The following is a 12,264-nucleotide window of genomic DNA, read 5'->3' on the forward strand; positions in this document are numbered from 1 at the left end:
CAAGACATTTTATATTTCCTAGTTATTCATTGGCTTGCTATGTCAGTTTCTGAGAGGGATGTGTTAAAAATATCTACCATGTGGGATGGCGGGAGGGAGAGCATTAGGAAAATTAGTTAATGCATGCTGGGCTTAATACCTAGGTGATGGTATTAAGCAAAACACCATGGCACACGTTTACCTATGTAGCAAACCTGCACATCCTGCACATGTATCCCGGAATTTTTAAAAAAAGAATAAAACTACTCTGTATCAGCCATGCAAAAAACAAAACCAAAACAAAAACCTACCATGATTGGGGAATTTAACAATTTCTTTTAGTTTATCTATCATTGTTTATCTTTATATATTTTTGTGGCTATATTGTTGGGTGCAAACAAGTTCAGGATTGTTTTATTTTCTTGATAACTCTTCTTTTTATTAGTCAATAATGACTTTTTATACCTAACATTATTGCCTTAAATTCTATTTCATATAATTGGTATTGTTTCATTACCTTTATTTGTTTAGTACTTACCTGAAATATTTTTCAATAAGTTTACTTCAAATTTTAAGAATCATTGTATTTTATGTTTCTGAAGAACATGAGAGCATAAAACATAGATAAAATTTGTATTTCAATTCAGATAATCTCTGATTTGTAACAGGTGGTTTCATGTTTACATTTATGAGGATTCCTTATATTGGATTTATTTCTATCATCTTATTTTATGTTTTCTAGTTACCATATTTTTTCTTATTATTTGGGTTTTTACTTTTTCCTGCTCTCTACTGCATTTCTTGAGTTTGTTGCCTTTTTTTCCTCCTCCAGTGTTTTGAAAGACACGTATTTTATTCCTTTTAGAAGTTACCCTTAAATTTTGAGTATGTCATGCTTAATTTTTAAAAAAGCTAAAGCTCAACAGTAGCTCCATTTTCTCTCTCCCCATGTTATTGTTCTCTAATTTGTTAGTTTTACCAGTTTTTGAAAATCTCTCTAAATTAGCCTTTATTATTAGAGTTGTAGGGTATCTCATATACAGAACTTATCTTCCTGTCTTGAAATTAGAATTCATATGGAGAAATAAGGGTGGAAACAGGCAAGAATGAGAGTTGAAAATCAAAATACAATGTTAGCTTTATTTCAGGTAGGTCTGATTGCAGAGAGAGATTTTAGATCTGTGGACAGATGAGCTTGCTGATACTGTATTCCTGAATTAAATGGGCTTCATGCCTGATGGCAGAGTGGGACAACAACAAGTGTCCCCAATAAGGCTGTTTGCACAGACCACGCAGACAAGAATGCAGCTTCTCTGGGAGATGCAGCTCTGAAGGAGAGAAAACAGTAGGGGCTGAGCCAAGCACGTTGAGGCCTTTCTTCTAAACTTTGCAGTCCTCCTGCCTGGTGGAAGAATGGTTGAGGAGGCAGAAAGAAGTGCACAGTGTTCTCATATTATCACTTGAGGAGATTAGAGTAGACCTTTTCTCCTCTCTATGGACATATGAGCGGGAAACAGTTGTTCCTCTAACCATTGTTACTATTATTGCTGCTGTTATGAAAGTTGTTTTCCATATTCCCTGCAAAAGTCTGATTTACCTTGGAGCTGATATTTCAGTTTCAGCTCCCTAGTCTGCAAAGACACTTCCAAGGTCCGGGAAGAAGAAGTAGCCCCAGGAGAGTTAGAGGAAGGCAGCTCTGCCAGCCTGGAGGTCACTCTGCTCACCCTAGTGGTAGTCCTGGAGCTGCAGCATGGGGGTTGGGTACCAGGCCCCAGTGACAACTTGAACCTTAGGACATCAGCCTCTTCCCCAAGGAAAACATTCTGCGACACGGCTCTACTCCCAGCCCCAGGGCCATGTGACCGGGCTTCATGGTCCCTTTGGCACACGCTCTGCCCCTGACAACAGCCCTGGCAAGGCCGAGGGTGGCAGGGATACTGGGTGTGGTAAAACCCAGTCGACCTTGACCAGCTTGCTGTGACTGTGAGATCAAAGGGCTGAAGTTATGTCTGAGGATTCCCCTCGACTACCAATAACAAATTGTGAAGCTAAAATAAACTTTTCTCAACTATGACTGATTAAAAACAAATAAATTTTGCTACTTCGGGAGCTGAGGCAAAGAGGATCATTTGACACCAGGAGTTGGGGGCTGTAGTGTGCCACAGTCACACCTGTGACTAGCCACTGCATTCTAGCCTAGGCAATATAGTAAGATCGCATCTCTAAAAACAAACAAACCAACAAACCACAAATATTGACCTACTGTGTTAGAAGACTAATCTATCCTTACAAGACAGACTTATCTCTCTACTTTTTTAAAATAGAAGATGATACTTAGAAATTATTGTCACATTAAGAGGTGATCAAAGAATATATAGCCAAAAAATGTAAGGAATAAAATGTATAAAAAAGAAAGGGATTGGTTATAATAAAATAATTGAAGCTTGTATTTTAGTCCCGGATTTTGTGATGTTTTGAGGCACTTAACTACAACTTAAATTGTCGTGATTTTTATTTTTATTCTCAGTAAATCTAAACTTTTGTACCTAAGTATTTATTAATAATTTGGTATTCCTTTCTTTAAAAAGCACCCCCCCCCACTCCCCCGCCAAACTATTAAAGCTTTAGATCCCACAAAACTTGGGCCAAACTCAGCTTTTTTTGTTTTACGAGTCATGTTTGCTGAACTAGGTGCAGGGGCTCACACCTGTAATCCCAGCAACGAGGGAGGCTGAAGCAAGAGGATTGCTTGAGGCCAGAAGTTTAAATCCAGGCTGCAAAACACAGTGAGATCGTATGTCTCTACAAAAAAATTTTACAAAATTAGCCGGGGATGGCGGCATGTACCTGCAGTCTCAGCTATTTGGTAGGCTGAGGTGGGAGGAACCCTTTAGCCCAGCAGTTTGAGGCTGCAGTGAGCTGTGATTGTACTACTGCATTCTAGCCTGGGTAAGAGTGAGACCTTGACTCAAAAAGATTTTAAAAAATTTTTATTTATTTTTATTTTTTGAGACAAAATATTGCTCTGTCACCTAGGCTGGAGTGCAGTGGTGTGATCTCAGCTCACTGCAATCTCTGCTTCACAGGTTCAAGTGATTCTCCTGCCTCAGCCTCCCAAGTAGCTGGGACCACAGGCATGCACCACCACACAAAGCTAATTTTTGCATTTTTAGTAGAGATGGGTTTCACTGTGTTGGCCAGGCTGCTCCCAAACTCCTGACCTCAAGTGATCCGCCTGTCTTGACCTCCCAAAGTGCTGGGATTATAGGTGTGAGCCACTGTGCCTGACCTGTTTATTTAATTCCTTTGCTTACCATTTCTCCTTATTTTTCCCATCTCTCTTCCGGGTCCCTTTTCCTTATTGATCAAGTACAGTCATGCAGCACGTAATGATGGACTGCGCATATGACAATGGTCCCATAGATCGTGATGGAGCTGAAAAATGCCCATGTGATATCACAGCTGCTGTAATATCATAATGCAATGCATCACTCACTTGTTTGTAGTGTAAGCAAACCTACTGAGCTGCTAGTCATATAAAAGTATGGCACATACAATTATATACAGTACATGTGACTGGCTTTTATATTTACTATATTATACTTGTTATCATTATTCTAGAGTGCACGCCTTCTAGTTATTTTTTAAAAAGTTAACTGTAAAACAGCCTCAGGCAGGCCCTTCAGGAGGTATCCAGAAGAAAGCATTGTAATCACAGGAGATGATAGCTCCATGTGTGTTACTGCCCCTGAAGACCTTCCAGTGGGACAAGATGTGGAGGTAAGACAGTGATGTAGATGATCCTGACCCTGTCTGGGCCTAGGCTAGTGTATGTCTTTGTATCTTGGCTTTTAACAATATTTTAAAAGGTGTTTTTGTTTGTTTGTTTGTTGTTTTTGTTTTCGTTTTGAGATGGAGTTTCGCTCTTGTTGCCCAGGCTGGAGTGCAATGGCATGATCTCGACTCACTGCAACCTACTCCTCCTGGGCTCAAGCAATTCTTCTGCCTCAGCCTCCCAAGTAGCTGGAATTACGGGCATGCACCACCACACCAGCTAATTTTGAATTTTTACCAGGGATGGGGTTTCTCCATATTGGTCAGGCTGGTCTCGAACTCCCGACCTCAGGTGATCCACCTGCCTTGGCCTCCCAAAGTGCTGGGATTACCAGCATGAGCCACTGCGCCTGGCCAACATTTTAAAAGTGTTTTAAAAAAGTAACGAAAGGAAGCTTGGCCAGGTGCAGTGGCTCACCTCTGGATTCCTAGTGCTTTGGGATGCCAAAGTGGGAGGATGGCTTGAGGCCAGGAGTTTAAGACCAGCTTTGGGCAACAAAGCAAGACCTCGTCTCTACAAAAAAAGTTAAAAATTAGCCAGGTGTGGTGACACACACCTGTAGTCCCAGCTAATCAGGAAACTGAAACTGGAGGATTGCTTTTTTTGTTTTGTTTTGGTTTGTTTTGGGTTTTTTTTTTGAGACGGAGTCTCGCTCTGTCACCCAGGCTGGGGTGCAGTGGTGCGATCTCAGCTCATTGCAACTTCTGCCTCCTGGGTTCAAGCAATTCTCCTGCCTCAGTCTCCCGAGTAGCTGGGATTATGGGTGCATACCACCACATCCAGCTAATTTTTTTTTTTTTTTTTGTATTTTTGGTAGAGATGGGGTTTCACCATGTTGGACATGCTGATCTCAAACTCCTGACTTCAAGTGATCCGCTCGCCTCAGCCTCTCAAAGTGTTGGGATTACAGGCGTGAGCCACTGTGCCCGGCCCAGAGGATTGTTTGAGTCCCGGAGTTCAAGGCTGCAGTGAACCATAAAAGCCCTGCTGCACTCCAGACAAGACATCACTATTGTAGGTTGTTTTTTGATACATTGTATCACGTTTTTTGAAACAAGAGTGAGAACTTGTATCAAAAAAAAAAACGAAAAGAAAAAAGCTTATAGAATACACATATAAAGAAAGAAAATATTTTTGAACAGCTCTTTACTGTGTTCATGTTTCAAGTGTTATCAGAAGAGTCAAAAAAGGCCAGGCACAATGGCTCATGCCTGTAATTCCAGTGCTTTGGGAGGCTGAGAAGGGAGGATGGCTTTAAGCCAGGAGTTCAAGACCAGCTGGGGCAATAAAGTGAGAACCTCCAGTCTCTAAAAACAATTTTAAAATGAGCTGGGCCTGATGGCACGTGTCTGTAGTCCCAGTTACTTGGGAGGCTGAGGTGGGAGAATCACTTGAGCCCTAGATTTCGAGGCTGTAGTGAGCTATGAGTGCAGCACTGGACTCCAGCCTGGGCAACTGAGCAAGAATTTTTTTTTTTTTTTTTTGAGACAGAGTCTTGCTCTGTCACCCAGGCTGAAGTGCAATGGCACAACCGCGGCTCACTACAACCTCCACCTCCCAGGTTCAAACAATTCTTCTGCCTCAGCCTCCCAAGTAGCTGGGATTACAGGCGCATGCCACCATGACTGGCTAAATTGTTTTATTTTTAGTAGAGACAGGGTTTCACCATGTTGACCAGGCGGGTCTCGAACTCCTGACCTCAGGTGATCCACCCACCTTGGCCTCCCAAAGTGCTGGGATTACAAGTGTGAGTCACTGTACCCATCCAAGCAAAAGAGAGAGAGAGAGAAAGAGAAGGAGAAGGAGAAGGAGAGGAAGGAAGGAAGAAAAGAAGGAAGGAAGGAAGGAAAGGGAGGACAGAAGGGAGGGAGGGAAGAGAGAGAGGGAAAGAAAGAAAGAGAGAAAGAGAGAGAGAGAAAGAAAGAAAGAAAGAGAAAGAAAGAAAGGAAGAAGGAAGGAAGGAAGGAAAGAAAGAGGGAGGGAGGGAAGGGAGGACGCAAGGAAGGGAGGGAGGGAAGAGAGGAAAAAATGAAAAGGAAAGAAAGAAGAAAGAAAGAAAACGAACAGACGGAGGGACGGAGGGAGGGAGAGAGGGAAGGAGGGAGGGAAAGAAGGGAGGATGGAAGGGAGGGAGAGAAGAGAGAGGGAAAGAAAGAAAAAGGAAGGAAGGAAAGAAGGTCTAAAAGTTTTTTTTAATTAAGATTATAAAGTGAAAAGGTTACAGTAAGCTAAGATTAATTTATTATTGAAGAAATGAATGAATTGAATGCAGCCTCAGTGTCCAGTGTTGATAAAGTCTACAGTAGCATACGGTAAAGTCGTAGGCCTTCACAGACACTCCCCACTCACTCACTCACTCATCCAAGCAACTGCCAGTCCTGCAAGCTCCATTCATGGTAAGTGCCTTATACAGGTGAATCATTTTAAAATCTTTTAAATTGTATTTTTGCTGTCATCTTTCCTATGTTTAGATACACAAAATACTTAGCATTGTGTTCCAGTTGCCTGTAGTGTTCAGCACAGTCACATGGTGTACAGGTGTGTAACCTAGGAGCAACAGGCTGTCCCACACAGCCTAGGTGTGGAGTAGGCTATGCTGTGTAGCTTTGTGTAAGTGCACTCTATGATGTTCACACAAAGATGGAAGTGCCTAACGATGCATTTCTCAGAATGTATGCCCATCATTAAGCGACACATGACTGTTTATTTGTAGTTCTTCCAGTGAAGGTCTGTTAATGGTGAATTCTAATAGGGTGATCATTTAGCCCTCACTCTTGAATAAAGCGGCTGGATAAAGAATTCTATCCTGGGGTTTTCCTCCCTTGGCCAGGCACAGTGGCTCATGCCTGTAATCCCAGCACTTTGGGAGGCCGAGGCAGGTGGATCATGAGGTCAAAAGATTGAGTCCATCCTGGCTAACATGGTGAAACCCTGTCTCTACTAAAAATACAAAAATTAGCTGGGCATAGTGGCGTGTGCCTGTCGTCCGAGCTACTCAGGAGGCTCAGGCAGGAGAATTGCTTGAGCCCAGGAGGCAGAGGTTGCAGTGAGCAGAGATCGCCCCACTGTACTCCAGCCTGGTGATACAGCAAGACTCTGTCCCAGAAAAAAAAAAAAAAAAGAATTCTATCCAGGGGTTTTCCCTCCTTTCAGCACCTAGAATTGTTATGTCACTTCTGGGGTGTGTCACTGTTGTACAGAATTGAACGTTTTCCTTTGAAGGTAGCCTATTTTACCCCCTGTCTTTTCTGTGTCTTTGGTGCTCTGCAGTTCCACTCTCATATGTCTAGTTTTGAATTTGTTTTTATTTAACCTGCAAGGGCCTGGGGGCACTTCAACAATCTGAGGATTTATGTCCTTTTTCAATTTTGGAAAAGTGTCACTCTTTAGCATTTTATTTTTTTAATTGTTTTTAATAAATACTGAGAAGATACAAAACAATATTTTAAAAATATGTAAGGTATAAAGTATAATGGAAAAAACAAAAAATGAATAATAGTACAACCCCTATGTCCTCGCCCTCAAGTGTAGGAAAAGAGTGCCAAAGCCACACCATTGCTTTTGAATTCCTTGTCCGCCTCCCTAGACCCGCTGGTTTCCATTCTGGAGACCATTATAATCCTAAATTCGATAGTTATCATTTCCTTGTAGTTTCACAAAGAAATATAGTTATGCATGTTTTAAACTGTATATCATTTGACTAAAGCTGTGTTTTTCTTTGTTTTCTCCACTCAAAATTATGTTCTTCAGATTCTCGTGCATTGATGGACACAGGTGTAATTTATTCATACTCATTACTATATAGTATTCTGTCACCCATATTTTATTCATTCTGTTGTCAATGGACATAGATTTGCTTCTAGTTTTTTTATTAGTAAGAATAGTGCTGCTTGGGCTGGGCGCGGTGGCTCATGCCTGTAATCCCAGCACTTTGGGAGGCCAAGGCAGGCAGGTCACTTGAGGTCAGGAGTTTGAGACAGCCTGGCCAACATGGTCTCTACTAAATATCCCCATCTCTACTAAAAATACAAAAATTTGCCAGGCGTGGTGGCATGCACCTGTAAGCCCACCTACTCGGGAGACTAAGGCAGGAGAATCACTTGAATCCGGAAGGCAGAGGTTGCAGTGAGCAGAGATCATGCCACTACACTCCAGCCTGGGCAACAGAGTGAGACTCTGTCTCCAAAACATAAAAGTAAAAATAAAAATAAAAGAATAGTGCTGCTTTAAGCATTTTCATAAATGCCTCCTGGAACAGGACAGTTTCTCTAGAGTTTACACCTAGGAGTGGAATTGCTAGGTCATAGAGTATGTATGTGCATTTTCACATAGCAAAATTGGTCTCCAGAGTGACAATTAATTTACACTTCCATCAACAATATATGAGAAATTGTCTTGCTTCACATCCCATTCAACGCACAGTAGTGTCAGGTTTCCATTTTTGCAAACTTTGTGGATGTGTAACAGTACTTCATAGCAGAATTAATTTGTATTTTCCTGATTGCTAATGAGTGAGTGACATTTTGTACATCTATAAAACACTTGTGTAATTATTTTGACTCTTTGGTGAAAATAGATGTCTTTTTTATTGATTTGTAAGAATTCTTTACATGTTTAGGAGACTAATCCCTTGACAATTACACATTTAGCAAATATCTCATCCTAGTCTGTGGCTGGTCATTTCATTCTCATTAGAGTGTCTTTTGATAAATAGATGTTTTCATTTTAAATGTAGGCCAATTTGTCAATTTTTCCTTTGTGGATTTCAATTTTTGTTTCCTGTCTAAGAAAATGTTTACATCCCTAAGTTCAGATGAGTATTCTCCCAGACTAACTTCTAAAGTTTCTGTAGGGTTGTATTTCACATATAGCTCATTAATACACATAGAGTTGGTTTTTGTGTGTGACGTGATGTATTAGTGTTAAGTCCTAAGTACCCTTATGTATTCTACTCTTGTTTGTTTTTATAAGTATGTTCTTATCTACCATCTCACTTATATACACAGCTATACTAAGGGACGTAGAAAAATGGTACTTTTTGAGAAATTTATAGACTTGATGCTTAAAGGCTGAAAATTAAGTAGCTGTGTTTTCAAACTTGAGTGTTAAAGAATAACAGAAAAAAAAATCACAAAAAAGTAGGATGAAGACTGCTATAGAGATGAGAGCAGAAACCAAATAAATAACCACCATATAAATAATAGATCAATTAAACAGAAGTCAATTAAATAGGAAACACATAAATAATAGAAATGCTCAAGGAATCCAAAATACTGCTCTTTGAAAAGTCTAAAAAAGTAGATATCTGGTAAGACTACTCAAAAAAACAAAAGAAGAAAAGGCAAAAATAAATATTGTTAAACTGACAAAAGTGTCATAAGTTCAGATGCAGCAGAAATTAAAAGGTTAAGAGAATGCTTTAATCAACTTTATGCCAATAAAATTAAAAACTCAGAAGAAAAAATACTCATTTCCAGAAAAATGTATGTCTATTTTGCATCTATCCAGCTAAATTCTCTTGTTAATTCTAATAATTTCCCTGTGCATAATTTTCAGTTTTCTGTCTGGAGCAGCTATACAATACATGAACTGTTACAGTATTACTCTTCCCCCATTGTTTCTTTGAATGTCACTACAGTTGTATTTCTGGAATGCCAATAAAAGTATAGTTATTTTGTACTTCTCATTCTGTCCTCCAGGCCTCCTAACCTCTCTTTTGTATTTTCAGTTTGTTTGTTTGTTTTTTTTTTTCTGAGACAGAATCTTGCTCTGTTGCCCAGGCTGGAGTACAGTGGCATGACCTCGGCTTACCACAACTTCCGCCTCCCAGGCTCCAGCGATTCTCAGCCTCAGCCTCCCAAGTAGCTGGGACTACAGGTGCATGCACTATGCCCGGCTAATTTTTGTATTTATGAATTTGACTCCTGTAGTGTGGATTTATATTTGGCTCTCAAGGGTCCCAGAGTTGTTGTGGGCCTTGGCCCAATTTGTTTTTTCTTGTGCAACTTTTTTGTTAGTTTAGCAGCTGAGGATTCTCACCTTATATAGTGATGTGTGATGTGTCTCGGGTGTGAGGATGTGTATGTGTATTTGCGAGAGGTATTGGGTATGAGGATGTCTGTGCTGAGTGATTTCTAATTCTTCTACTCTTTAATACATTTACTTTACCTTGTCCTTATTCAAACAATCATGACTTCTAAATTATTGAGGCTCAAAAAAAGTTTTTCTCTATGTGATCTGCCAATATGTATGTACTGATTTTCTTTAAGTCAAAGATTTTTAAAAATACTTAATTCTAAAGTGAGAGGAAAATAGAAAATATTCTGCAGAACTGTCACACCAAACTTTGCTCAGTATATTATTTGAAAATTTTTCTCATGGTTCCTGCTTCCTTCAGAAAGCTTTTGCAATAAATTATATTAAAACAAATTCTATACAGAACACAAGACTGCCAGTACAGCAAAATGTGTGAGAAAATTTCTCACAATGGACTTTCAGTGGAATATGAACATCTCTTTTCTAGATGATATAACTTTCCTAAGATCTTAGAAGACATTTTAAAAGTTTCTCTTGCCAGGCGTGGTGGCTCACACCTGTAATCCCAGCACTTTGGGAGGCCGAGGCAGGCGGATCACCAGGTCAGGAGATCCAGACCATCCCGGCTAATACGGTGAAACCCCGTCTCTACTAAAAATACAAAAAATTAGCTGGGCATGGTGGCGGGCGCCTGTAGTCCCAGCTACTCCGGAGGCTGAGGCAGGAGAATGGCGTGAACCCGGGAGGCGGAGCTTGCAATGAGCCGAGATGGTGCCACTGCACTCCAGCCTGGGCGACAAAGTGAGACTCCGTCTCAAACAACAACAACAAAAAAAAAAAAAAAAAAAAAAAAAAACACAAAAGTTTCTCTTATACAGAAGGAAAGAAGAAAGGAGGAAGGAAGAAAGGAAGGAGGGAAGGGAAGGGAAGGGAAGGGGGAAGGAAGGGAGGGAAGGAAGAAGGAAAAAAGGAAGGAAGGGAGGGAGGAAGTGAGAAAGGAAGGAAGGGAGGGAAGAATAAAATCTAATAAAGTTTTACCAAATATAAATACATTTTTATATCTGTTCTTCATACCTAGCATTTCCCATTATTAATTATTGGTAGTCCTAGATATGCTGTGGTGTGAGTCAAAAATGTAAGAGCCAATTATGACAGAACAGCCTGGCAGTATGTGACCCTCGAATTGGACCCATCTATTGAGTTGGGGACAAAACGACAGCACCAAATTCAGCCCAGGCCATGGTGAGAGATGCCTCAGCGCAGGCTTCACCCGGGACCTGTAGACTGCGGCCGCAGGGCTTCCCCAGAATGGGAACCAGCTTGAGACTCCTCCAATCTCAGATTCTCCCTTTACTGGTTGTATAACCTGACACAAATTCTTTTTTTTTTGGAGGGGGCGGCGGGGGATGGAGTTTCTTGTCGCCCAGGCTGGAGTACAGTGGCATGATCTCAGCTCACCACAACCTCCGCCTCCCAGGTTCAAGCAATTCTCCTGCCTCAGCCTCCTGAGTAGCTGGGATTACAGGTGCCCGCCACCACGCCCGGCTAATTTTTTGTATTTTTTTTTTGGTAGAGACGGGGTTTCACCACGTTGGGCAGGCTGGTCTCGAACTCCTGACCTCAGGTGATCTGCCTGCCTCGGCCTCCCAAAGTGCTGGGATTACAGGCGTGAGCCACCGCACCCAGCAACCTGATACAAATTCTTTTACTTCACATTTTCCAGTATGCTTACCTGTAAAACAGAGATATTATCTACCTCATAGGATCCTTAGGAAGATCATATGAGGTCACAAATGCAGAGCCCATGGCACTGTGCCCTGTCACACCGCGAGCACTTGACTAATGTGAACTGTCAATGCAAGCAGTAGGCGTCAGGGCGTGTTCAATAAGCAGGGAGCTGATATTTGGCAATCCAGGCAGGCTGGCAGCATCATATACAGTTTTCAGCAGGTAACAAGATGACAGCAATGAACCAAGAGTTGAAGGACCAGATCCCAGTCCCAACGGAGGTGGAAGGATAAAATAGACATTGTGGCAAAAGCAAAGAAGAGCCCCAGGCTCAGGAGAATAGAGTAGGCAGGATTCAGTGGCTGGGGCTCAATCCTAAGAAACAAGACAAGGATGTGGTTAGCAAAACTGTTGGACAAAGTGAAGACTGGGCCTTGGCTGAAGGTACAGCACAGAACTGGAGGAGCAGTGGCAAAGGAGAACGGGTGTCCATTCTCAAAGCATCTAGACATAGCTTTGGAAATTCACTGCATGTCACCCTAATGAAGCCCCGTTAGCTGACTATTGGTCCCGGAGCCAGCGTAGGGGAACTTGCTGGAGATGATAAATAAAATATTTTTAGATTTATTTGTTTATTATAAAAGAAATTAAATCAGATCCTGACCGAATAATGTAATGCCAAGAAG

At 41.3% G+C, this 12,264-nt stretch overlaps 2 annotated features.

Moving 5' to 3' along the window:
* Nucleotides 1,736-1,805: an enhancer, noted in NCBI's record as "active region_25316". NCBI's record gives its function as "activates an Ori minimal core promoter by ATAC-STARR-seq in GM12878 lymphoblastoid cells {active_cell/tissue: GM12878}" and the evidence as "EXISTENCE:reporter gene assay evidence [ECO:0000049][PMID:35858748]".
* Nucleotides 1,996-2,095: an enhancer, noted in NCBI's record as "active region_25317". NCBI's record gives its function as "activates an Ori minimal core promoter by ATAC-STARR-seq in GM12878 lymphoblastoid cells {active_cell/tissue: GM12878}" and the evidence as "EXISTENCE:reporter gene assay evidence [ECO:0000049][PMID:35858748]".

This window comes from Homo sapiens, chromosome 6, assembly GCF_000001405.40.
Source record: "Homo sapiens chromosome 6, GRCh38.p14 Primary Assembly".
NCBI lineage: Eukaryota > Metazoa > Chordata > Mammalia > Primates > Hominidae > Homo > Homo sapiens.